This window comes from Homo sapiens, chromosome 16 (assembly GCF_000001405.40).
Source record: "Homo sapiens chromosome 16, GRCh38.p14 Primary Assembly".
Lineage (NCBI taxonomy): Eukaryota > Metazoa > Chordata > Mammalia > Primates > Hominidae > Homo > Homo sapiens.
The window spans coordinates 14,523,738-14,551,449 of NC_000016.10; the positions used below are offsets into that span (position 1 = coordinate 14,523,738).

At 41.5% G+C, this 27,712-nt stretch overlaps 1 protein-coding gene and 1 long non-coding RNA gene across 12 annotated transcripts in view, besides 1 other annotated feature; both read right to left on the reverse strand.

Moving 5' to 3' along the window:
- The window catches only part of PARN (poly(A)-specific ribonuclease), a 194,560-nt gene that overhangs the window by 88,037 nt on the left and 78,811 nt on the right, over nt 1-27,712 (reverse strand). The gene's annotated exons all lie outside the window — the stretch shown is intronic.
- Nucleotides 6,840-27,291, reverse strand: LOC107984865 (uncharacterized). The gene is made up of 2 exons (XR_001752089.3): nt 7,317-27,291; nt 6,840-7,180 (listed from the first exon to the last, which is right to left on the reverse strand). It is a non-coding gene; the product is annotated as an uncharacterized LOC107984865 (long non-coding RNA).
- Nucleotides 8,440-9,189: an enhancer, noted in NCBI's record as "NANOG-H3K27ac-H3K4me1 hESC enhancer chr16:14626034-14626783 (GRCh37/hg19 assembly coordinates)". NCBI's record gives its function as "activates a minimal SCP1, AML or CMV promoter by ChIP-STARR-seq in naive H9 embryonic stem cells {active_cell/tissue: H9 hESC(naive)}" and the evidence as "EXISTENCE:reporter gene assay evidence [ECO:0000049][PMID:30033119]".

Sequence of the window (27,712 nt, forward strand, 5' to 3'; positions counted from 1 at the left end):
AGAAATGACAGAAGGATTAGGGACATAAAGGGCTCAGTCATTCAGAGGACAGGGAGGTCCTTAAACAACCTAAGTATAGTCACTTGTTGCCTAATGAAGGGGTATGTTCTGAGGAATGCATTGCTGTGTGAACACCATAGGGAGCACTTATACTAGATGGTGTAGCCTACTACACGCCTGGGCTATACAGTATAGCCTATTGATCCTAGGCTACAAACCTGCACAGCATGGTACTGAATACGGTAGGCAACTGTAACACAATGGTTAAGTATTTGTTTACCTAAACACAGAAAAGGTATAGTAAAAATATGGTATTACAATCTTATGGGGCCACTGTAGTATACGCAGTCCATAGTTGACTGAAATGTCATTATGTAGCATATGACTGTAGTTGATTCTAACCTGTGATGTATTAAAATTCTCACTTTTCTTACCCTAAGACACTTAAAATATTTCATGGAGTGTTGTTTCCCCAAGACAGCTACCTGGTTATGACTTCTTTATTTTGTTTGTTTTTTCTTATTAGTAAGCTCTCGAAGAACAGCCAAAGTGTGAAGGCAAACCAGTATGCCATCATACCCTTGGTCCATCACGGCGGTTTAGATCATCAAGATTCATTACCAGGTACACCTTCCTGTCCAAACATGAATTATGAAAAAGATCTTTACTCCTAGGGGCAGCTGTTCACTGCTGCTGCTAAACTGCAGCATTAAGAGTGTTCGATTTATCAAGATAAGAAGACAAAGATCAAGCTTGAACATAATCACTTTTCAAACTGCTTGCAAGCATTCGAAGTGGGGAAAGACAAGGAGGGGAAAAGCTCCTTTAACTAAAATTAGAAACCTACTGATAATTTAAAGGAAACTCTTTACATTTACTTAAAATATGTTACTGAAGATATTTTATCTCCACTAGAATATAATTTCCCAAACATTATTCAATTAAAATATCTCAGAAACAATATGAAAACTGAGTAATCAACTGCCTGTAAAAATTTCTCCAAGTAGTTAACATCAGCAAAATACAGCCATCAGTGCCACTCGGATCCTGCTTCATGGTTTCTATGTGTCTTTCCTTGTTCAGATCCACTAAATCTTTCTATTACCAGGCAACACAGAATATCATACATATAAAATGAAACTCTTATTTCCTTTGTATATCAAGATGAATCTCTCTTTTAAATATTATAGTCCAACCCAGCATATCTAATAGGGAGGAATGGGGATATAATTTCATGAGAAAAGAGAAGGATTTAAACAATGACAGATTTTAAAACAGTCTATAACAGAAACAACTACTACTACTACGAAATATGAGGAGTGTTAAATTTCCTTGTTTCAGTTTGTCTGAAGTTATCCAGAATACTTACAGATAATCTTGCAATGGAATTTCAGTATGAAGATCTCTAAGAAAAAGATCCGGATTAAGTTCTTAAGCTAGTAAATGCGCCTCTCTACAGATGAGGAAGTAAATGCATCAAAGGATAAAGGCTGTTCCCCAAGAAATGAAACAGATGACTCCCTCCCACCTGAAAGATAAGGATGTCTCTGGAAAACTCAGGATGCCTAGTTTGAAGTTGTCCAAGACTCATCAGTTTCCAGCACTTAATACTGATGTGGTATTTTGTAACCCTCAATGCAGCGGTCACAGAAGGGACAACCCTTCTATGATGGCAAGGCAGGGAACCCAATTATTCCCAGACCAAGGTGGGGTGCACAAACATTCCATTCAAATGAAGGTCAGCACAGCAAGCAAACAGGGACCATGAATCAAGCTTCCAGGAGATGAGGGAAGGCAATGGCATGGAGGCTGTGTGCTCTGCTGGGACACAGGACCCTTCCCTCAGCCTGTCCCTCCTGTTCATGGCACCCTCTCTTCATTATCACCTACCTGCAAAGGGGCCCTGCAAGCCTATGACAGAGCCGCTCAGTGAATCCAGAGATTCAGTTCACTCAACAGACCTAAAAAGCAACACTCTCCTTAATTGTAGGCTCCACCAGGAAAAGACTATACTGTTATTTGCACAGAGGTGAAAAGAAAGATTGCCTAATAGGAAGGACACTGAGTGTTCTCACCATGATTTCAACCAAATTTTCTTTTTCTTTTCTTTGAGATGGAGCCCAAACTGTAGTGTACAGTGGTGCGATCCTGGCTCACTGCAACCTCCACCTCCCGGGTTCAAGCAATCCTCCAACCTCAGCCTCCCGAGTAGCTAGGATTACAGGTGTGCACCACCAGGCCCGGCTAATTTTTTTTGTATTTTAGAGGCGGGGTTTCACCATGTTGGCCAGGCTGGTCTCAAACTCCTGACCTTAAGTGATTCGCCCACCTCAGCCTCCCAAAGTGCTGGGATTACAGGCATGAGCCACCACCTATAACCAAATTTTCTACATGTTACTTTTCCCAAGAACTTGCCAAAAGAATTAAATAAATCATCCACTGTTTTTTTTTTTTTTTGAGACGGAGTCTTGCTCTGTCACCCAGGCTGTAGGGCAGTGGTGCGATCTCGGCTCACTGCAAGCTCCGCCTCCCGGGTTCACGCCATTCTCCTGCCTCAGCTTCCCAAGTAGCTGGGACTACAGGTGCCTGCCACCACGCCTGGCTAATTTTTTTGTATTTTTAGTACAGATGGGGTTTCACCATGTTAGCCAGGATGGTCTCAACCTCCTGACCTCGTGATCCACCCACCTCAGCCTCCCAAAGTGCTGGGATTACAGGCATGAGCCACCGTGCCCGGCCTCATCCACTGTTTTTACTCAGCTCCCATCTCAGGCCGCTTCCTTCTAAAGGGGCCAAGATGCAAGTTAATAAGCAGCTGAAATGAACAGGCTGGCAAAGTAAACCATACATCCCTGGTTTTCCCAAACCTCATCACACAAAGGAAAAGTCAAGGGTGTAATCCACAATAAGGAGATTCATCTGCAGAAAATAAACTATCAAGAAAAGAAAAAAGCAACATCATCTTCAATTAAAGTCAAATTCAACAGTTGTAGCCATCCTATGTCTCCATTTGCCTAACTATCCAGTACTTGGAGCCGTCCACGGTCACTGTGCCAGGGTTAAAGTTGGGCCAGGAGTGGCCGGGCCTCCCTGCAGCCAGCCCATTTTTGTGGCATTTCTCTTGTCAGGCAAGAACCAGAATGACTCTCCTGAAGCTCTGAGGTGAGTACCTCTCCTTTAAAAGCAAATAAAAAGTAGACAGCCCAGAAATCCTCTTCCTAATGGCTTTGGGTCAAACACCCTGGTGAAGAAAGGAAGGCAGAGAACAACAAACACTCCAGTCTTGCAGCTATATTCTATAAAGTCTCCATTGTTAAATAAAATGTATAGAGGTCAATGGTTTGGACTGAGCTCCTGCACTAGGCCCAACAGACCTAACTGAAATGGAGTCACTCTTAAAGTTCCATGTCACCAAGCTGAAACTAATTTCTCTATATGACCTTGTGGGGAATCCAAATGAGAGTAAACAGCTGAATCTCCAAACAAGCCAGTTTTACCTGACGACATGATAAATTGAGTTCCCTCTGCTTTAACCTTTACAAGGAAAGCAACTATGAAATGACCAATCTGCTTTTTGTTTTCTGTTTCTGCTTTCTTCAACCCTTCTCTATCTATAAAACCAACCTCCTCTGCCCAGCTCATTGGAACGCTCATTCTATTTTATGGAATGAGTTGTTGTCCCATTCCAGAACTGCAAATAAAGCCAATCAAGATTTTTAAACAAAATCTGTCATAATTTTTTTCTTTTTGACGTCATGAAAGCTGAATTAGCAAATGCTGAGTCATTGTTTCTAGGGAAATACAAGATTAGGGTCCTACAAACCTCTGATCACATGTTCATCAACCGATCAATATATTATCTTGTTTTATGTGTGTTTCTGTTTAAAGACATCTTAGTTAATATACTGTTGATTCATTAACACTGAACTCATGGCCAAGAGCACTTTAACTCATGTGTGAACAAAGCTCATCTAACACGTGTTTTCTCTGTAAGGCACCTCACATCCTTCTTGCATTCAGGAACACTGGGTATCCCTCTAACACTATGCTTTGGGGTCATTTTCAACAGCAAAATCACTAATAAAAAGGACAAAAATTCAAAACAAAAAACTGGCACTAAAAGCCTGTGAAAAGGAGCCGTGTTTACAGCCCAAGAGCAGAAACTGGAAGGCAGAGTGCAGTCTCCTTCAGCTTTGGCTGGAAGCACATGTTGGGCAATACAAAATTTTCCCAACCTGCATATCCCTGGGGATGACCACAAAAGCACGTGAAAACTGAATTGTGGGTTACAAAAAATTGAATATCTGAATTCACAAATACAGAATCTGTGAATAATGAGGACTGACTGTATTTTTAAAACCATGCCCAAACCAGCTGCTCAAACTGAGTGTCAGAATAAATCCATAGCCCTAATGAGTACAACTTCACCTTACAGCAAACTTCTCCTGTGCCTGTGGAATTCTCACATTCCTTATGAACCTACTCAAAAGTTAACCTCTGTAACAGAAAGCTGCTCTAGTAACTACTGAAGTGGGACCCCCACAAGAGGCTCCAAAGGAGACCCCTGACTGCACTGATAAGAGATTAATTAGAACGGCAACCCAACTGTAGGAAGCCATGGGAAAGAAAAGGAAAGACAACTAAAAATCATTCTGGCAGCAGGTTTTGTCTCTTGTTTAAAAGGTACAGACAGGTGAAGACCTGCAAGTCACTTAGGGCAACAAACATGGCCCTACCTGAGGGACATGCTGTCATTTTGCAAGCCGATCATACAAACACCAAGAGCTTCACACTCACACAGTCTCCATGATGCAGCAATACATCTTTTTTACAAACTTGACTCTGTGATATTTTATTGTCTGGATTTCTGAATAGACTGATGTGGGGGGGAAAGTGGACATTTACCGAGCAGCTAATGCCAGGCACTATGTCGAGAACTTTACCTTCATAACCTCACTGAATTCTCCCCAGCCTGGTAAAATGAATTTTCTCTTCTCCACTTTAACCTCTGGAGCTAAGGACTCAGGTTACATCAAACACCACCGATTTTATTTCCTTCAAGCGGCTAAAATAACTCGAGAGATTGTTTGGATATTTCAACTAGTTGAGTATTCAATTAATCACTTTAATTACTAATGATTACTTTATAAGTATTTCTTATAAACTGGATTCATGAGTTTTCCTCTAGGTAGAGATCTTTCCCTGCAAGAAACGAGAGAAAAAACATTTTCTCTTTACAGAAACTTCTCTCATCTCTAGTCATAATTCTTTAACTGTTTCATGGAAGACTGGACACAGATCAAGCAGCACTCAGCAGACATCTTCGCCCTGACTCCTATAAAAGTGTCACTTCACCGTGAGTGCAAAGGTGGCCCTGAGCGAGTGCCTAACCAAGGCCCCTCTGCCAGGCTTCTCCAGCTCCGGACTCTAAAGGCTTCCCCACAACTACAGGAGAGGTACGCTGTCGAATCCGAATGCTAAGTCTGTCCACATTACTTAGCATGAATAAGCATTTCAATGTTTTACTTGGCGTTGGAAAGGTAGATTGGTTGCCAGCACGACAGCACCACCTTCTGGTTGGTGAAAAGGAATTAAGATACAAAGTCACATCTGGAGCATTTCAAGTTTTGTAAGCCAGATGGATGGCAAAGTTGAAAATCTAGTTTCCATAAAATCCGAACAATGTCAGTAGCAATTAAACACCCTCACAGATCAGTAATGGAATAGTAACTGTAGGTCACTACTGGCTACTGCTCCACTTCTGGGCACACTGCAGCCACTTCCAGCCTCTCAGCCCTGACATTGAAGCCCACTGCGCCCTATGAAAGAAATTCCTTATCATGTCATCAGAGTCACATCCATCCCCCTGGCTGTGCAAAAAGGTTCTCTGCTGTTCACAAAGTCCAAATTTGATGGCCAGCAATAAAGTATCAGACACTGGCCCAACAACCACTCCCACTGGTACTCGTTGGCAGGTAGGGAGTATCGTCCTCTGATGGTTCTAACGAGGACTATCATCCTCTTATGGAGCCCATGAGGACTCGGCATCCCCTTCCTGTTCCCCTCAAGCATGGGACTCCTTGGTAGACTGTGCTGGAGAAGGATCTTGAGTGTGAGGTCCAAATGGGGCTTCCTCCTATAGGTGATACCATCCCTACAGAAATCCAGAAATCCAGACCACGAGACCCCATCATGACAGCTGCAAGAGGCCTCTGAACTCTAAACGATTCCTTAATCTCAGCTTCCAAGAGACCCCAGCAGCTGGTTTCCAGGCCTGCCTTCTTCAATGCAGTGGCCCCATCCACTTGTCAAATGGCCCTTGGGTGTCAGACTCTTCCTGATTCTGCTCATCAGGTAAGCTATTCATCCTGCTCCCTCAAGGAGAGCCAAGCAAGGTGGACAGAGAGAGGACTGTGCTTTAATCACGACATCCTTCTCTTGGTGAGCAGCACAGAAGTCTCCTCCAGACCTGTGGAGACCACAGGGTGAAGGAATGAGCATTTCTTCCTGAAGCTGTCCACAGGAATCCCAAGCCCCAGGCTACTCTAGAGAGAGGCAGCACCTGAGGAGGGAGAGCTCTGCCAGTTACCTCTGCTTCCCCCCAGCCCACCAACACCCGCCACAGTGCTTTGCACACCTGGAAAAGAGTAATTCTTCTTTAAATGAGGACTTTAATCTGTGTTTCTCCTGAAGTGCCTGAGTTCAAACTCTGTTTACCATAACCCTCAACAAGAAATCCATGTGCATTATAACCCAGTACACACACATACATCTGTACGTACAGAACCCTGAAAAAAAGGTTACATTAAAAAAAAAAAACTATATTATATAAGACACACTGACATTTTCTAACTTCTTCCATTTTATTAAAAATGCTGGTCACCATTCATTCAAATGACTTCACAACCCAGTGAGGGAGTGCAACCCTCACTGGGTGAACACTGTCGTAAACTTCCGCCTTCGTTCATCACTCTGTTGGGTGCCATGCTCCTCTCTCTTCTCGGCTATCCCAGAATTGGCCCCTTCCCAAGGACTGTACCAGGGCATCTCCTCAAAGCCCTCTCCAGCTCTGTGCCAGCACCATTCCAAATGCCAAGGATGTAGAATAATGACTAAGATGTAGCCCCCATGCAGAGAAGCCAAGTCTACTGGGTGGGACAGACTGACATTGCCTCTTCCTCTGAAGACAAAAACACTTGTTATCTGTATTCATTCATTCATGCATGCATTCATTCATTCATCCATCCATCCATCCATCCATCCATCCATCCCCCACCTTGACTCACTCCCACATCATTGTGGAAACAACAGCTTACATTTGTCAAAAGGCAGGCCAGGCGTGGTGTCTCATGCCTGTAATCCCAGCACTTTGGGAGGCTGAAGCAGGCAGATCACTTGGAGTTTGAGAACAGCCTGTCCAACAGAGTGAAACCCCATCTATATCAAAAAATACAAAAATTAGCCAGGCGTTGTGGTTAGTGCCTGTAGTCCTAGCTACTCAGCAGGCTGAGGCAGGAGAATTGCTAGAACCCAGAACGCAGAGGTTGCAGGGAGGCAGAGGTTGCAGTGAGGTGAGATCACACCACCGCACTCCAGCCTGAGTGACAGCACAAGACTCCATCTCAAAAAAAAAAAACAGATGAATCCATCTAATAGGGTTTCCTTTTTCACAATCTGTTTGTCAAGGGATAATTTTCATGAACTCTAAATTAGGAACTAAAGTGCACTGTCACTGATTCTTGGAAGCCAATGGCCCATTTATTACCCTATGTAGCATTTATAGATGTGGCAGGTTCCCAGATAAATTCAATTTGGCCTCAGCCTCTTAGAAAAGGCTGTGAACTAGAGTACATGCAAAGACTAACCTTCTACCATGCTTAAAAATACATAGAAACTGTTTGGGTACGTCCGTCAATTTCATCTACTTTTGACTTTGTGCTACCATGCCATCCTACACACATGGGAAAGAGTGCCATGAGGGTGCCCCCCCAGACAACAACCATGCTTTCCAAGGGCAGCTCTATTTGGTTGACCAACTTCGTACTCAATACTTGGAAATTCTTTCAAAAGCCCCAGACTTCTCAATGAAAACTGGTTAGATGTAATATTTTATTTTAAAACTTGTATTCAACCTGGCCAAGATAGCAAGATCCCATTTCTTTAAAAAAAAAAAAAAAAAGGCAGGCATGGTTGCATGCACCTATAGTCCCAGCTACTTGGAAGGCTAAGGCAGGAGGATCGCTTCAGCCCAGGAGTTCGAGGCTGCAGTGAGCTATGATCGCACTGCTGTACTCCAGCTTGACCCTGTCAGAGTGAGATCCTGTCTTAAAAAATTAAATTAAATTAAAATATAAAACTTGCTTTAACCAAGAATAAATAAATCCCCCCAACCAACATGACAGCAAAGTTTATACAAGGCACAAGATTCAAACTCTGATTTTTTTTTTTTTTTTTTTTAATTGTTCATTCTTGGGTGTTTCTCGCAGAGGGGGATTTGGCAGGGTCATAGGACAATAGTGAAGGGAAGGTCAGCAGATAAACAAGTGAACGAAGTTCTCTGGTTTTCCTAGGCAGAGGACCCTGCGGCCTTCCGCAGTGTTTGTGTCCCTGGGTACTTGAGATTAGGGAGTGGTGATGACTCTTAAGGAGCATGCTGCCTTCAAGCATCTGTTTAACAAAGCACATCTTGCACCGCCCTTAATCCATTTAACCCTGAGTGGACACAGCACATGTTTCAGAGAGCACAGGGTTGGGGGCAAGGTCACAGATAAACAGGATAAGAATTTTTCTTAGTACAGAGCAAAACGAAAAGTCTCCCATGTCTACCTCTCTCCACACAGACACGGCAACCATCCGATTTCTCAATCCTTTCCCCACCTTTCCCCCCTTTCTACTCCACAAAACCGCCATTGTCATCATGGCCCGTTCTCAATGAGCTGCTGGGCACACCTCCCAGACGGGGGGGCGACCGGGCAGAGGCGCCCCTCACCTCCCGGGAGGGGCGGCTGGCCGGGTGGGGGGCTGACCCCCCCACCTCCCTCCTGGACGGGGCGGCTGGCCGGGCGGGGGGCTGACCCCCCCACCTCCCTCCCGGACGGGGTGGCTGGCCGGGCGGGGGGCTGACCCCCCCACCTCCCTCCCGGACAGGGCAGCTGGCCGGGAGAGGGGCTCCTCACTTTCCAGACTGGGCAGCCAGGCAGAGGGGCTCCTCACGTCCCAGACGATGGGCGGCCAGGCAGAGACGTTCCTCACTTCCCAGAAGGGGTGGCGGCTGGGCAGAGGCTGCAATCTCAGCACTTTGGGAGGCCAAGGCAGGCGGCTGGGAGGTGGAGGTTGTAGCGAGCCGAGATCACGCCACTGCACTCCAGCCTGGGCACCATTGAGCACTGAGTGAACCAGACTCCGTCTGCAACCCCGGCACCTCAGGAGGCCGAGGCTGGCGGATCACTCGCGGTTAGGAGCTGGAGACCAGCCCGGCCAACACAGCGAAACCCCGTCTCCACCAAAAAAATATGAAAACCAGTCAGGCGTGGCGGCGCGCGCCTGCAATCGCAAGTACTCGGCAGGCCGAGGCAGGAGAATCAGGCAGGGAGGTTGCAGTGAGCCGAGATGGCAGCAGTACAGTCCAGCTTCGGCTTGGCATCAGAGGGAGACCGTGGAAAGAGAGGGAGACCGTGGGGAGACGGAGAGGGAGAGGGAGAGGGAGAGGGAGAGGGAGAGGGAGAGGGAGAGGGAGAGGGAGAGGGAGAGGGAGAGGTTCCAAACTCTGATTTTTAACAAATCAAGTAAAATCCATGTTTCCACGTTCTAGCTCCCCGCTGCCCCACAGCTGCTCCACTCCACGTGCCCTCTGTTTCAGTCATGCCAAAGGATGTGCTGGTCCCACAATCCACCACAGGTTTCTCAGCCTTCCTCTACTAGGCAACTCCAACTTATGACCGGAGGGTGAGCACAGGCATCACCATCGCCTCCTCGGAAGCCTTCCCTGGTGACCCTCTTCTGCATCTTCCTGCCAGTTTGAGCCAGTTCACTCTCCCCAGGATCTTCCCTTTATCACAACACTCAGTAGCCACTGATGCACTGGTTGTCTACACACCTGCCTGCACCACAAGACACTGATTCCTTGAATGGAAAGCCAATTATTTCATCTTCCACATCTAAATTCAGTCCCTCAGTCCTTCAACAGTACAAAGGCAAATATTGGCCAAGCGTGGTGGCTCACGCCTGTAATCCCAGCACTTTGGGAGGCTGAGGCAGGCAAACTGCTTGTGTCCAGGTGTTTGAGACCAGCCTGGACAACATGGTGAAACCCCATCTCTCCTAAAAATACAAAAAATTAGGCATGGTGGCATGCTCCTGTAGTCCCAGCTACTCAGAAGGCTGAGGTGGGAGGGTAATCTGAGCCCGGGAGGTCAAGGCTGCTGTGAACCAAGATCGCGCCACTGCACTCCAGCCTGGGCAACTGGAGTAAGACCCTGTCTCAGAAAAAAAAAAAAAAAAAAGGCAATACTTAAAGAATAATACTGCAGGTTTCAAATGAAAGCCATTGTTTCAAAAATCTTGCAAAATACCTTCCTAATTATTCTGTTGTTACTATAAAGAACACAGGGCATATAAACATATGGTATCTAGACTATACAAAGATAAATCAGTAAGAAATAAGAGGCTTACCCTCCATCTTAAAATATAATCACAGAAGTGCATACCTAAATGTGAACTTCAATATGCACTAAAAGCGATTCAAACTTATTTGGGGCATTAATAGACAATTATTTAAATTAGTGATATTCTATAATGAGTTCATTTCCCCCCCTACATAATATGCTACGATCATTTGTTTCTCTTCCCTCTAAATTATTACATAATATTAAAAAAAGACTGATGGGAAAAATCTCATTTTCAGTTTATTTTATATGACAGTGTCTTTCTGTGTTCCTTTACATAGGAGGAGTAGCAGCTGCTCCTTGGCCTCTGATGCAATTTGAAAACAAGTTTCTGTGAAGTTCCCCACATCGCTCCACTTCACAAGCGGAAAGGATGAAAGGCATTCCTACTATTAATAGCTGGACTGCATAATGTAAAGTTTCATTTCTAAATTTTTTTTTTTTTTTTTGGAGACAGAATTTCACTCTTGTTGCCCAGGCTGGAGTGCAATGGCGCCATCTCGGCTCACCACAACCTCCACCTCCCGGGTCCAAGCGATTCTCCTGCCTCAGCCTCCCAAGTAGCTGGAATTACAGGCATGTGCCACCATGCCCGGCTAATTTTGTATTTTTAGTAGAGACAGGGTTTCTCCATGTTGGTCAGGCTGGTCTCGAACTCCCGACCTCAGGTGATCCGCTCGCCTCGGCCTCCCAAAGTGCTGGGATTCCAGGCGTGAGCCATCGCACCCTGGCTAAATAACTATTTTAAGTCATGTTTACTTTTTATAATCTTATCACCTGAAAGTACTCACTAACCTAGATGTTAGTGAGTACTAGATGAGATGTGGGTAAACCCCTGGTCTGAGGTGCTCAGGTCACCACTGCCATCAATTTTAAGTTACCTAACACTCCAGTGGTCTAGCATTTGCTAGTGTTTTTGCTAAACAAAATGAAGTAACATTCACTCTGGTATTAAAGTGATGTTTGGGCTTCTTTCCAGGATATATAAATTACATCTTTTCTAAGAAAAGACAAGTTGTACAAATACTCAACAGTGGAAATATTATCAATAAACATCACAAATCAAAAATGTTTAATAGATTCTTTTTCAGAATAGCAGATTTAAACCAAAAAGTTGATGGAAAATTCAGAGAAACTAATGCTATACATTTCATGATTAGAAAAAACAATGCCATAAAATAATTACAGTCAGCAACAAAAACAGGGCTACAGTTAGTTCCCCCTTATCTATGATTTTGCTTTCCAAAGTTTGTTTCCTACAGTAGAGTATGATAAGATATTTTGAGAAAAACAGAGCACATACACATAGCTTTTATTAAGAATATTGTTATAAATGTTCTGTTTCATTGTCGGTTATTATTGTTAATCTCTTCCTGTGCCTAATTTATAAATTTAACTTTATCATAGGTATGTATGTATAGGAAAAACAGAGTACATACAGGCTTTCATACCATCTCCAGCTTCAGGCATCTACTTGGAGTCTCGGAATGTATCCTCCATGGATAAGGAGGGACTACTGTACTCTGCTAGCCATATTAAGAGTTTTAAAAGCAAGATGTTTCCCTTTGCTGTGTTCCTTTACTTATTTAAAAAATAAAAAAGCATATAATGCTTTTTTAGTCTTAAATTTAAAAATTGTATTACACATTATTCACTATGGAAAAATCAGAAAATAGAAGAAAACATAAGAACATAAAATCCATCTATAGTTCCATCACCCTGAAAGATTTATTGGTAACATTTTTAGTTACAAAATAATATTATATTCTGGATTAGCCATTTATATAACAAAGTCCTCCAAATACATTTCACTTATATTTTAAATTTGCTAAAATCAGATTTCATTTTTTAAAACTGTGAGGTTGTAGGGAACAGGAATCATGTACGAGAAAACAATGTCAACATGTAAAGACTAGCACAGCTAATATTAATCAACTATTTCATTATATCTACTGACAAAAACAACGACAAAACATTAAAAGCCTCAGAAATAAGGATCCTTATATTTAGTTTCTCAGTGGCCGAAGAGCAAACTGGCAGATTAATTTCACTGCTTTGCGTTTCCTATTATCACCAGAGTCCTAAAGTATTTCCAGAGAGTGAATTATGACTATGGCACTAAATAAGGCACAGTGGTACCTGCTTTCTAAAGTGTGCTGTGCGATCTTGATCCTGCAGATGTATCGTACACTTAAATACTATATACACAATTGAAAGGTAAATCTCAAATATTAATCTGCAATTATCTTTGTTAATAAAGAGAGGGGTATTAAACAACTTTTTCCTTTTCTATGTAGTTTTAAATTTTTCTAATAAAAATAAGTGGTATGTGAAACGCTTGTGACATGATTAATTAAAAAAGCAGATCCAAAAATGCATTTCAAGTCTCAGCCCAATTAGTATTAAAAATGTTAAACATAAGACTCAAAACTATAAAACTACTAGAAGAAAACATTAGACAAATGCTAAAAGACATTGGTCCAGACAAAGATTTTACAGCTAAGACTTCGAAGCACAGGCAACAATAAAATAACAGAAAAATGAGACTATATTAAACTGAAATGCTTCTGCACAGCAAAAGAAACAATCAACAGAATGAAAAACAACCCGATGAATGGGAGAAAATATTTGCAAACTATCCAAAAAGGGACTAATATTCAGAATATACAAGAACTCAGACAATTCAATGGCAAAGAACCCACATGATCCAATTAAAAAGTAGGCAAAGAAACAGAAAAGGCATTTCTCAAAAGAAGACATACAAATGGCAACAAACATAAGAAAATGTTCAACATCACTAAATCAACAGGGAAATGTGAATCAAAACAACAGTAAGATACCATCTCAACCCAGTCAGAATGACTACTATAAAAAAGACAAAAAAATAACACAGACTGGCGATGATGTAGAGAAATGGGAACTCTTACACACTGTTGGTGGGATGGAAAATTAGGATGGCTACTATGAAAGACAGCGTGGAAGTTCCTCAAAAAATTAGAAACAGAACTACCATACAATTCAGCAATCCCACTAGTGGAAATTTATCTGAAGGAAACAAAGTCAAAGGCATACGCTGCACCCCCATGTTTACTGCAGCACTATTCACAATAGCTAAGATAAGGAATCAACCTAAATGTTCATCAAAAGATGAGTGGATAAAGAAAATGTGGTATATATCACAATGTAATACCATTTAGCCAAAAAAAAGAATGAAATTCTGTCATTTATGGCAACACAGATGAGCCTAGAAGACATTAGCTTAAGCAAAATACGGCAGGCATAGAAAGGCAAATGCATGTTCTGATTCGTATGTGGGAGCCGAAAAGCTTTGAGCTCAAGTAGAGAGTATAATTGGGAGTATTAAAGGCGCGGAAGGGTAGAGGGAAGAGGAGGATAGAGAGACGCTGGTTAATGCCTACAAAATTACAGTGAGATAAGAGGAATGTGTTCTGATGTTCTGGCAGCACTGGAAGGTGAATGTGGTAAATGTGGTTAAATAATAATTTATTATATATTTTCAAAAAGCTAGAAGAGAGAAGTTTGAATGTTCACAACACAAAACTATAATACATCTTTGACATGATGGATATGCTAATGATTTGATCATTACATACTGTATACATATATTGAAATGTGACTCTGAATCCCATAAATATGTACGTACAATGATCATGTGTCAACTAAAATTAAAGGGGAAATAATATGAAAATACTTATCTAGGCAGAGTAAAGAAACAGGAAATACCAAAATTTTACTTCATTACTAGGTTGTAAGATCATGGCTGAATTGTTTTCCTTGTATTTTCAAATATTTTTCACTTTTTTTTTTTTTTTTTTTGAGACAGTTTCATTCTGTCGTCCAGGCTGGAGTGCAGGGGCATGATCTTGGCTCACTACAACCTTTGCCCCACGGGTTCAAGCAACTCTCCTGCCTCAGCCTCCCAAGTAACTGGGACTACAGGTGCAACGCCACCATGCCCAGCTAATTTTTGTACTGTTAGTAGAGACAGGGTTTTGCCATGTTGACCAGGCTGGTCTCAAACTCCTGGCATCAAGTGATAACGCCTGCCTCAGCCTCCCAAAGTGCTGGGATTACAGGTGTCAGCCACCACGCCTGGCCTTTTTTTCACATTTTCAATGAGATTGATGTACTTCAAATTTTTGAAGGGGGTGAGAGAGCACAATGAAAGCAATTTTTCACAAATGACATTGCAATTAAATTAGAGAGATTTATTCAATACTCTGAAACCGCATCATAAAGCAAACATTCTTAGGTCCAGCTAACATAGGCCCTAAAACCGAAGTCGCCAATCTGTACTGATCTATGTTCCCTGGCATGTTAGGAACCAGGCTGCACAGCAGGAGATGAGCAGCAGGTGAGCTAGCAAAGCTTCATCTGTTTTTACAGCCACTCCCCATCGCTCGCATTACCACCTAAGCTCCACGTCCTGTCAGATCAGTGGCAGCATTAGATTCCCGTAAGAACATGAGCCCTATTGTAAATTGCACATATGAGGAATCTAGGTTGTGCACTCCCAGAATCTAATGTCTGATGATCTGTCACTGTCTCCCATCACCCCCAGATGGGACTGTCTAGTTGCAGGAAAACAAGGTCAGGGCTCCCAATGATTCTACATTATGGTGAGTTGTATAATTATTTCATTATTACAATGTAATAATAACCGAAATAAAACACACAATAAATGTAATGTGCTTGAATCATCCCAAAACCATTCCCTACCCCTGCTCCCACCTAGCTCTGTGGAAAAACTGTCTTTCACAAAACCAGTCCCTGGTGCCAAAGACTGCTGCCCTAAAACATAAAAATCAAGTGCCAGTAATATGGATAAGAAACAATGTAACAGAATATGAAACTTCGGTCTCCAGAGCACAAGTGCTCCCCTTCTCCTGGCTGCATTCTAACTGCCACAGGACACAACAGCCGCTTTAATGCTGTATCAAGGACTTGGGAATCCTTCTCTGGCACTCAGAAAGCTTTTTGCTCTATTCTCATACCAGTTAATGCCCTAAAGAATGCTAATTAGGGAGAGTCCAAGTTATTGTCACGCTCTTAAATCTGTCTGATGAACATTTCGTAGCAGAGATACATAAGACGGCTAATTCTCCAAATTGAACACATTAGGGATATCAGAAAACAATAAGATTCTCAGTCAGTATTATTAAACATTTCCATGGTGCTTTTGATGACTTAAGTGATTTAGAGAAAAACAAGTCAGTTGCTTTTACAAGTTTTCTAATCAGAAGGTATCCATCCATACAAAACATACATTCACATGTCTTACTAATAATGATTCTCCTATAGCAGACTGAGGTATTTTATAAGCCACTGTTGTAAAAATCTTGCCTGTTAAAAAGAAATACTGTCAGCCCTCCATATCTGTGGGTTTCCCATCTGTGGATTTAACCGACTCAGATGGAAAATATTTGGGGGAAAAAATTGCGTCTGTACTGAACACACAGACTTTTTTCTTGTCATTTTTCCTAAACAATATACAATATAACAACTACTTACATAGCATTTGCATTGTTAGGCATGTAAGTAATCTAGTGATGTTTTTAAGTATACAGGAGGATATGTACAGGTTATATGCAAAAATTATAGCATTTTATATCAAGGCCTTGAACATGCCTGGATTTTGAAGTCTGCATGGAGTCCTGGAACCAATCCCCCATGGATACCAAGGGACAACTGAACATGCTTTCCAGGATCCTGTACTTACAGCATAAAAATCATATATCCTCCTCCAAAATAAGCTTAACAGAAATCTTATTTTTAAAAGTCATGCCATAGTTTGACTCATTTATCTATTGCCACATTTAGAATTCAAGATCACTACTGTAAACGAATTCTACATACAGTTTAAGATTAGGAAAATTAACATTCATGTGAAAAATATTCATTTTTTGGTTTTTATTGAATATTTTGTGCATTTCCTCTGTGACAAGAATAAATAAACAGTAACACACTGGCCAACTACAAAAGGCACCAAAGGTAGAAGCAAAGACACTACTATGTCTGGACAGCGTATCAAATATATATCAATATATTGTATTTCAGATATAATACATATATATATCTGAAAGGAAATGAACTTGAGTCACTTTTAATCAGTTAAAGGCATGCTTTTTGATGCATTTACATTAGATTTTCTGAAAATGTTATTAAAGTAGTTTAAGCATGGTATGTGATATGGAAGGAAGGTCTGGATCACAAAATAGGTGCCAGCCAGGCACGGTGGCTCACAGCTGTAATACCAAGATTTTAGGAGGCTGAGGCAGGCAGATTGCTGGAGGCTGAGGCAGGCAGGTGGCTTGAGCCCAGGAATTGAAGACCAGCCTGGGCAACATGGCAAATCCTTATCTCTAAATGAAATAAAAAATTAGCTGGGCATGGTGGTGTACATCTGTAGTCCCAGCTACTCAGGAGGCTGAGGCAGGAGGACTGCTTGAGCCCAGGAGGTAGAGGCTGCAGTGAGCTGTGAACGCGCCACTGCACTCCAGCCCGGGCCACAGGACAAGACTCCGTCTTGAAAAAACAAACAAAAAAATAGATGCCATAAGGGTTACAACTAAAAAGCACAGATTTCGGCCAAACACAGTGGCTCATGCCTGTAATCCTAGCACTTTGGGAGGCTGCGGCAAGTGGATCGCTTGATCTCAGGGGTTTGAGACCAGCCTGGACATCATGGCGAAACATCTTTTTTTTTTTTTTTTTTTAAAGCACAGGTTTTGAATGCTACATGCAGGGTATGTCATGAAACTAAATAACTTTTTAAAAAATCAAAGGTAAGGAAGTCCTTATGGAAGAAGCTTAGGGGCAAACAGGGGCAATAGAGAGTGAGGAAGGAATTCTGGAAAACAGGAAGTTAGAGAAGAAGAAGAAACTCATATTGGTATATAGACCCAGCCCAAGTCTCTGGTTGACCCTAAACCATGCATGTGGCAAACTGGGAGCAATCTAAGCTAAGTTCTGAGCCACAACCCACCACAGCCATGAAAAAGTTTGTAGTTTGAGTCTAACAAAGTTAATTATCTGCTGAAATTATTTTTCATTTTTATTTATTTATTTTTTGAGATGGAGTCTCGCTCTGTCACCCAGGCTGGAGTGCAGTGGTGTGATCTCGGCTCACTGCAACCTCTGCCTCCTGGGTTCAAGTGATTCTCCTGCCTTAGCCACCTGAGTAGCTGGGATTACAGGTACATGCTACCATGTCCAGATAATTTTTCTATTTTTTAGTAGAGACGGGATTCTACCATGCTGGCCAGGCTGGTCTCAAACTCCTGACCTCAAGTGATCCACCCACCTCAGCCTCCCAAAGTGCTGGAATTACAGGCGTGAGCCACTGCACCAGGCCAATTACCTGCTGAAATTAAAATACAAATATCAACATTCTTCTAAGGAATGTAACTAAATCCAGAGTCTCCACAAGAGAACATTCACAATGTCCAGGAAACCAATGAAATTACTCAATCCCAAATTACTCAATATACAAAGAACCAGGAAAACATGACCCATTCTCAAGGGAAACCATCCCAACAACAGGTATCAACAACCCTCAGATGATGCAGATGTTGGAATTATTAGAGAATGATTTTTTTTTGAGACAGGGTCTTGCACTGTCACCCAGGCTGGAGTGCAGTGGCGTGATATTGGTTCAATGCAACCTTGACCTCCTGAGCTCAGGGGATCCTCTCACCTCAGCCTCCTAAGTAGCTGGGACTACAGGTACATGCCACCATGCCTGACTAATTTTGTTTATTTTTAGTAGAGACAGGGTCTCACTATGTTGCCCAGGCTGGTCTCAAACTCCTACGCTCCAGTAATCTTCCCTCCTTTGCCTCTACAAGTACTATGATTACAGTCATGAGCCAACACACCTGGGCTTTTTTTTTTTTCTTCTTTTTTTAACTTTTTTAAGAGACAGGGTCTCGCTGTATCTCTCAGGCTGGAGTGGAGTGGTACAGTTACAGCTCATTACAGCCTCAAACTGGGCTCAAGCAATCCTTCCACCATAGCCTCCCTAGTAGCTGGGAATAAAAATGTGCACCACCACAGCCAGTAGACAAGGACTTTAAACAACCTATTATAACTATGTTCAATGAGGTAAAGAAATAAAGACTAAGTGGCCAGGAACTCAAAAAAATTAAAAAAAAAAAGAAAAGAAAACAGAAACATAGGCTCCAAATGAAATAAAAGAAACTCTCTACAGAGAAACAGAAAAAATAAACTGAATGAAAATACATAACTAAAGTATACAATATATGCAATAAAAATTCACTGGATGGGCTTAATAGCAGAAAAATGATGTCAGAGGAAAGAGTCAGTGATCCTGTGGATAGACAGAAAATATATAACCTGAAGAAGACAAAGAAACGAACACAGAAAAAAGGAACAGAGCATTAGGAAATACCAAAACATCAAAAGATCTCCTACATGTGGGTACCTGGAGTCTCAGAGGAGAAGAAAGAGAATATGGAACACAAAGATTATTTGAATAATGTCTAAAAACTTCCCAAATCCTGTGAAAACTATGAATTTATAGACTCAATAAGTTCAGCCAACCCCAACAGGACAATTGCAAAGAAAGCTACGCCTACGTGCATTATATTCAAACTGCTAAAACCAATCGTAAATAGAAAATGTTGAAAATAACCAGAGAAAATTAACACATTATATACAGGAAAATGACAATTCAAATGACACAAACATCTCATCTTAAACCATGGAGGCCAGAAGACAGTGGAACTACAGCTTTAAAACACTGAAAGAAAAACCCAGAATTCTATATCCAGTGAAAATATCCTGTGTGAATAAAGGCAAAATAAAGACATTTTCAGATAAAGAAAAAATTAGAGAATCAGCTGCCAACCAAACCATCAATACAAGAAATACTAAAGTAAATTCACAAAGCTGAAGGAAAAGGATACCAAAAAAGAAACCTGGATCTTCAGGCATGAATGAGGAACACTGAAAATGGTAAATATCTGACTAAATATTTTCTTCTCCTTATTTCTTAAAATACATAGAGAGTTTAAAGTAAAATTGTAACACCACTTTCTGGGATTTATAATGAATGCAGATGTAATACATATGCCCAATTAAAGCCTAAAAGACTACAAGGAATGGTTGTAAATGAACCTATATGATTGTAAGGTCTCTACATTCTATGTGAAATGGTATAATATGAACTCTGAGAAGACTGTTAAAAGTTATGGATAGATATTTAAATTTGTAAAGCAACCACTAAAAATAATGCAAAAAGATAAAACAAAAAAGCCAGCAGAGAAATTAAAACAGAATTCTTTTTAAAAATTCAAATAATCCAAAAGAAGGCAGAAAAGGGGGTATACAAAAGAACAAAACACAGAGAAAGCAAACAAAAAGCAAATTTTAAAATGACAGACCTAACCATATCAATAAGGACATTAAATTGGACTAAATACTCCAATTAAATTTCAGAGTCAACAGAAGAAATAAAAAAGCAAAACCCGGCTGGGCACGGTGGCTCACGCCTGTAATCCCAGCACTTTGGGAGGCCAACGCGGGAAGATCACCTGAGGTCGGGAGTTCAAGACCAGCCTGACCAAGATGGAGAAACCGTCTCTACTAAAAATACAAAATTAGCCAGGCATGGGGGTGCATGCCTGTAATCCCAGCTACTTGGGAGGCAGAGGCAGGAGAATCGCTTGAACCCGGGAGGTGGAGGTTGCGGTGAGCCAAGATCATGCCATTGCACTCTAGCCTGGGTGACAGAGCAAGACTCCATCTCAAAAAAAAGAAAACCAAAACCAAGCTATACACTGTCTACAAGAGACTCACTTTGTGTATACACAGATAGGTCTAGAATAAATAGAAGGAAAAGACCAGTTTGGCTGGGTGTGGCGGCTCACATCTGTAATCTCAGCACTTTCGGAGGTCAATGCAGGTGGGTCACTTGAGGCAAGGAGATCGAGATCAGCCTGGGCAACATGGCAAAACCCTGTCTCTACTAAAAATACAAAAATTAGTTGGGCATGGTGGCACACACCTGTAATCTCAGCTACTCAGGAGGCTGAGGCAGGAGAATCACTTAAAGCCAGGAGGTGGAGGTTGCAGTAAGCTGAGACCGCACCACTGCACTCCTGCCTGGGCAACAGAATGAGACTCTGTATCAAAAAGAAAAATAATAATAAAAGAATATACCAGGCAAATATAAAAAACATAAGGAGGATGAAGTGATTATAATATCAGATAAGGTAGACTTAAAAATAATAGTATTACAAAAGATAAAGGAGAACATTTTATAAAGAGGCCAGTTTATCAGAAAGACAAAACAATCATAAATACGTATGCCCCTAATAATACAGCCACAAAATACATGACATGAAAATTGACAAGATTAAAAGGGTAAACAGACAATTCTACAATCACAGGCGATTTTAACCCTTCTCAAAAACTGATATAACAACTAAATCTAAAAAAGTCAGTGAAGATATAGAATAAGACTGGGCACAGTGGCTCATGCCTGTAATCCCGGCACTTTGGGAGGCTGAGGTGGGAGGATTGCTTGAGCTCAACAGTTCAAGGTCAGCCTGCGTAACATGGTGAAACTCCATCTCTACCAAAAAATACAAAAATTAGCCAGGCATCCTAGCGTGTGTCTGCAGTCCCAGCTACTCAGGAAGCTGAAGTGGGAGGATGGCTTGAGCCCAGGAGGTGGAGGTTACAGTGAGCCGAGATCATACTCTGGCCTGGGTGACAGAGCCAGACTCTGTCTCAAAGAAAAACATCAAAAAAAGGATGCAGGATATATGAATAAGACTAACCAATATTGATGTTCTTTTTAAGTGCACACAGTATGTTCAAAAACATAGACCTTATGCTTGACTATAAAGGAAATTCTGGTAAATTTAAGAGGACTGAAATCCTATTGAAATCTTTAGTCACAACAGAATGAAATTATAAATTAGTAACAAGAAATCTAACGAAATCCTAAGCATTTGGAAATGAAACAACACATTTCTAAATAATCCAGGATCAAAGAAGAAATCACAAAACTTTTCCAACTTAATGATATTTAAAACATACGTATAAATAAACAGTTAACATACAACTAACGCAGTACTTAGAGGATAATTTATAGCTTTAAATGCTTCTGTTAGAAAAGGAAAATGGTTCAAGTCAATGACTTGCAGAGTCTTAGCTATGTACACATAGCTAGCTGACCATAAGGCCTGTGCGCCCACAGAGGACAGAGGTCCAGACAAAAGTAAACATTGGGGCAGACTTGTAAGCTGCCGGAATGTTGAGTCTGTTCCCTAACTTAGCTGGCAAAGGGTTAAAGCTTTACCAGCTCAAGGTGTTTCAGCACCACCTCTTACCAATCACTGGCTAATCAGTAAGATATTAATATGTTGACCTACCAACAACCTCGAGGACGCCAGGCTTAAATTTTTTAAAAAGAATTTAGAAAAAAGAAGAAAAGAAGAACCAATCACATACGGTTCTAGCTCAAGAAACTGAGAAAAGAAGAGCAAAGTAAACCCAAGCAAGTAAAAGGAGAAAAAAAACAGAAACCAACAAAATAGACAATATCAAACAATACAGAGAAACGAACACAGCCAAAAGCGTTCTTGAGAGAGATCAACAAAATGGTAACAGCTGACTGGAATGAACAAGGAAAAATGAGACACAAATGAGTAATATCACGAATAAAAACCAGTTATCACTACAGATTCTGCAAACATCAAAAGGATAATAAAAAGCACAGGTAAAGTTCAAAGTTATAAGCAGCCTTTTAGCAAATTCAGGGCTGAACAATCATCCTGAAAGAGTTGTCTCTACAATTCTAATATTTATCTGTTCAGCATAATCAAAAGCTGTGCTTTTTAAAAACACAATTTAACATAAGCACACTCAATAATTTAGACTGAGGCAAAGCCAAGTGTCTTCCCTCATCCCAAAAATCATCCTGAAAAAGCTTCTAAGGCAGGGTATCAGGAATTCATACAACTATCTGAATTTGGGCTTTTATTTTATTTATAATTACTGGGTAACTTTTTATGACCCAAAATAACTGTTGAGTTCCTGCCTCTTCTAAAGTGTCTTTATCAATTTCTGCTTTTAAAAAGTTTCTTACAGTATCTACTGTGTGTGTTCCAATCTCCAGCTTTCAAAATATGTGAAAAAGCTCTTTTTCTAAAGCCATTTCTATAAAAATTATATTCAGAGACACAATGTCCTACGATGCATTTAAAGACACTCAAAACAATGTCTAAATATTGAGAGTATGGCTAGAAAGTTCTACTACATTTGAAATATTGTTGAGCTCTTCCCCATTTAATAAAACTACATTAGAAATATAAAAATCCAAAATATAAACAAGCTATTCAGATTTGCCCATTAAAGATGAATTCCTGGCCAGGGACAGTGGCTTACGCTGTAATGCCAGCACTTTGGGAGGTGAGCAGATCACGAGGTCAGGAGTTCGAGACCAGCCTGACCAACATGGTGAACCCTCGTCTCTACTAAAAATACAAAAATTAGCCAGGTGTGGTGGCGTGCACCTGTAATCCCAGCTACTCAGGAGGCTGAGGCAGGAGAATTGCTTGAACCTAGGAGGCAGAAGTTGCAGTGAGCCAAGATCGCACAACGGCACTTCAGCCTGGGCAACAGAGAGAGACCCTGTCTCAAAAAAAAAAAAAAGAAAAAAAAAGATTTCCTGCTTGACTACTTTGAGAAAAATTCTCAAATGGTGAAGGTAAGTGGTCTTTCCATGGCACCAAGTCCCACACTGGCCATGTACTGCTTCATCTGAAGAGCCAGAGGGGGAATAATGCTAAATGCACAGCTTGTATGGGTTACCACGTATCCAAACACCCCAAAGCCAGCAGGGAACCGCTTCCCAGCAGCAGCAAATGAAAAGCAACAGAAACCGAATGGCACTCAGTAGACGGGTTTTAGTAGTTAGTATAAAAAGGGTTCCTATAAAAGAGAACTTTCATATTCAAAATGTCGAAAATAGCCAGGCACAGTGGCTCACACTTGTAATCCCAGCACTTTGGGAACCCAAGGAGAGAGGACGGCTTGAGGCCAAGAGTTCAAGACCAGCCGAGCAACATGGCAAGGCCCCATCTCTACAAGAAAATTTTGAAAAAATTAGCAGGGTGTGGTGAGTGCACACCTATAGTCCTGGCTACTCAAGAGGCTGAGGCAAGAGGACTGCTTGAGCCCAGGAGTTCGAGGCTGCAGTGAGTTATAATCATGCCACCACACTCCAGCTTGGGCAACAGAGTGAAACCCAGTCTCCCAAAAAAAGTCAAAAATGGCTTTAAAAATCTTGATTAAAATTAGTAATACTCAAAGAAAAAAAAAAGTGTCAGTTAAAAAGCAACTCCTTAAATGTAAATCAGAAATAGTTTGTAACAGAGCCAAAGAAGCCATTATAAGCTGCTATATAAATAGGCATTTAATGATTTTCTCAATGTTACATTATTGACCTAAGAGGCGCTCTGTTTCCACTGAAATGAATAAGTAATTTGTTTAAGATAACATTAATAGGGGCCGGGCGCGGTGGCTCATGCTTGTAATCCCAGCACTTTGGAAGGCCGAAGAGTGCAGATCACAAGGTCAGGCATTCGAGACCATCCTGTCTAACACGGTGAAACCCTGTCCCTACTAAAAATACAAAACAAAAATTAGCCGGGAGTGGAGGCACGCACCTGTAGTCCCAGCTACTCGGGAGGCTGAGGCAGGAGACTCGCTTGAACCTGGGAGGTGGAGGTTGCAGTGAGCCGAGATCGCACCACTGCACTCCAGCCTGGGTGACAGAGCAAGACTCCGTCTCAAAAAAAAAAAAAAATTAATAGGATTTGCAGCACATCAGATACCCTGGGTCCTTCTTATCATTAGAATCACCATTATAAAGAACAAATTTCACACCGTCTTTCAGTGAAACATCTGCATAATTTTAGAAATCACAGCTAAAGAGCAGAGACATTAGTTACATCCATCACATGCAAAAAGGCATTTCCAAGTCACAATACTATGAATATCATTTATGCAATTCAATAAATATTCAACATTTACTTACTAATGTCAGACACTACCACTTTACGCACTAAAAACGCAATGGTGACTGAGACATGGTCCCTACTCTCAAAGAGTTTACAGTCTATCTGTGAAAACAATATAATAAGGTATACAAGATGCTATGAAAGCACAGAGAATGAGGTTCAATACCCTACAAAGAGAGCCAGAGAAAACATCAGAGGCCGGGTGCAGTGGCTCATGCCTATAATCCCAGAACTTTGGGAGGCTGAGATAGGCGGATCACTTGAGGCCAGGGGTTCGAAATCGGCCTGGCCAACATAGCAAAACCCTGTCTCTACAAAAAATACAAAAATTAGCCAGTGTGGTGGTGCATGCTTGTAATCTCAGCTATTTGGGAGGCTGAGTCACAAGAATTGCCTGAACCCAGGAGGTGGAGGCTGCAGTGAGTCGAGTTTGTGCCACCCCACTCTCGCCTGGGCAAAAGAAATGACCCTGTCTCAGAAAAGGAAGAGGGGAGGGAAGAAGAGGGGAAGGGAGAGGGGGGAAGGTGGGGAGGGGAGGGGAAGGAAACATTGGAGAAACTGATGTTGAAGCTGAGATAAGGCAGGAAGGAGGGCATAGTCAGGTTCTGGTGGGAGGTGATGACTGCATAAAAGATGGCTTCTTCTGGCAAAGGAAATGTTGTCAGAGGCACAGCATGCTCAAATTGCCAAGTATTTTGTTAAGAGTTGTCTTTTGCATAAGAAAAGAGACTATACCGGAAAATTAAACTTTACTAGCAAAGCTGCATATATCAAGAGAACAGTGATCTACTTAACCTAGGAGGAAAAAAGGTAAAATATCACAATTTCATCTTGGCCTATTCCCCATATTCCCTATTCAAACACACATTTATTTCCTCATGCTGCAGTGTGTGTCAGGTATGAGAGAGGACTCAGGGCCAAACAAGAGGGACCCAACACTGCCCTCAGGAAACCAATGCAATGAGCAATCAGACAATAGAGTGCTTCTATGGCTACACATGATTCTGAAATGTAGCTCCCTGATTAGAGTTACCACGGAATAAAATACTTAGCTTAAAAGCTACTGTTTTAAGAATTGTCCAGTAGTAAAGAAGAGAGCAACTGTTATTTGACATCAGATATGGTGGTATAACAGGAATTTTAAAAGAAACTTTGACATCCCATACACACAAGCAAGGAATCATGCTTGTATTTTCAAATAAATGCTACTAACTCATGTTTTACAGATTTCAAAGCACTCTTACACACTGTTCACAGCAAGGGAGGCCAAGCAGCTATTTTAATAATTACCTACCACGGGTCAAGCACTGATTGTGTAGTATGGGGCTCTTTGCTGGCAACTTAATATCCATGATCTCATTTCATCCTCACAACAATCATGCCAAGTAACTATTATCTCCCTCTTAAACAAACACGGAACCTGTGGCTCGGAAGGTTTACATAACCTGCCCAAAGACACATGGCTGACAAGTGGTGGAGCCAAAGTTAGTCCCCGTGTCAGTCTGTGAAAACTCCTTTTATCGGGCTGCACAGCTTCAATGTCACCGAGTGTGGCTAGCAAAGGAGCTGAAGAGTGTACAGTGAGCAGAGGAAGCTGAATTAGACTGCAGGTCAGGACTTTGAACTCAGTCTTCTTGCAGCCACACTGAAGCCTCACTGTAACTGTAACCTCAAGGTCCCCACCCCCACCTAAAGTTATCTTGAGCTTTCTAATAATTCAATCCCTCTGGATTCTCTCTAAACCATCTTTCTAAGGATAGTGGGGAAATGGATCACAGAAAAAATCTCTATGCAAAAATTAAAATATTTAACAAGCAACATCAATCACACCCTGCATCCACCACTATCCCTGGTGTCTGATGCTCCTGAGTACATTCCACCCTGAAATCTGCTATTAAAGAACCACAGTAAAAGCTCAAAGCCATGCCAAGGTTCATTTACTTAATCTCATGGAATCCTTACAATAACACTAAAGTCCATACTATTATGCGCAGTTTACAGAGATAAGCAGAAGTTCATCAAGGTTAAATAAGGCACCCAAAGTCACACAACTGTTAAGTGATGCTGCAGTATGATTCCAAAAGCCTAAGCTTTTCCCCTCTACAGCATGGCCTGGATTCCTGCAACAGTCAGATAATGAAAGAAAAATGCCAAAATACTGTGATCTGAATTTGTATATTTGCAGAAATTTTCATATATAATTACTCACCAGTTCTACTATCAGAATTATAGTTTTACTGTGCGGCATTTTGTTAAAGTAAAAAACAAACACATCACTTAAAAATTTCACATCTTTTACATTATCAAAGCAACATGGTGCTTGAAATTTACTTGAATATACAGCTTAACAATACATATTTTCACCAATATTTTATTCAAAAACTTCCCATCTTAAGAAAACAAAACGTTTAATTGATGGTTAATATCAAAATATCAAAATTATTTAGGATCCTACAAGAGACGGGGTGCTCCATCTTTTTAGAATCCCCTCCTTTTTTTTTCAAGACAGGGTCTCACTCTGTCGCCCAGGCCAGAGTGCAGTGGGTGCGGATGTTGGCTCACTGCAACCTCTGCCTCCCGGGTTCAAGCAATTCTCCTGCCTCAGCCATCACGCCCAGCTAAATTTTGCATATTTAGTAGAGATAGGGTTTCACCTTATTGGCCAGGCTCGTCTCGAACTCCTGACCTCAGATGATCCGCCTGCCTCGGCCTCCCTAAGTGCTGGGATTACAAGCGTGAGCCACCATGCCCAGCCTAGAACCATATTTTAAAAGCAAATAAAATATTCAGTTTATTTGTTTGTAAAACAAGGCTGGGCATTGTGGCTCATGCCTGTAATCCCAGCACTCTGAAAGGCCGAGGCAGGCAGATCACCTGAGGTCAGGAGTTTGAGACCAAACCGGCCAACATCGTGAAACCCCATCTCTACTAAAAATACAAAAATTAGCCGGGTATCATGTTGCGCGCCTGTAA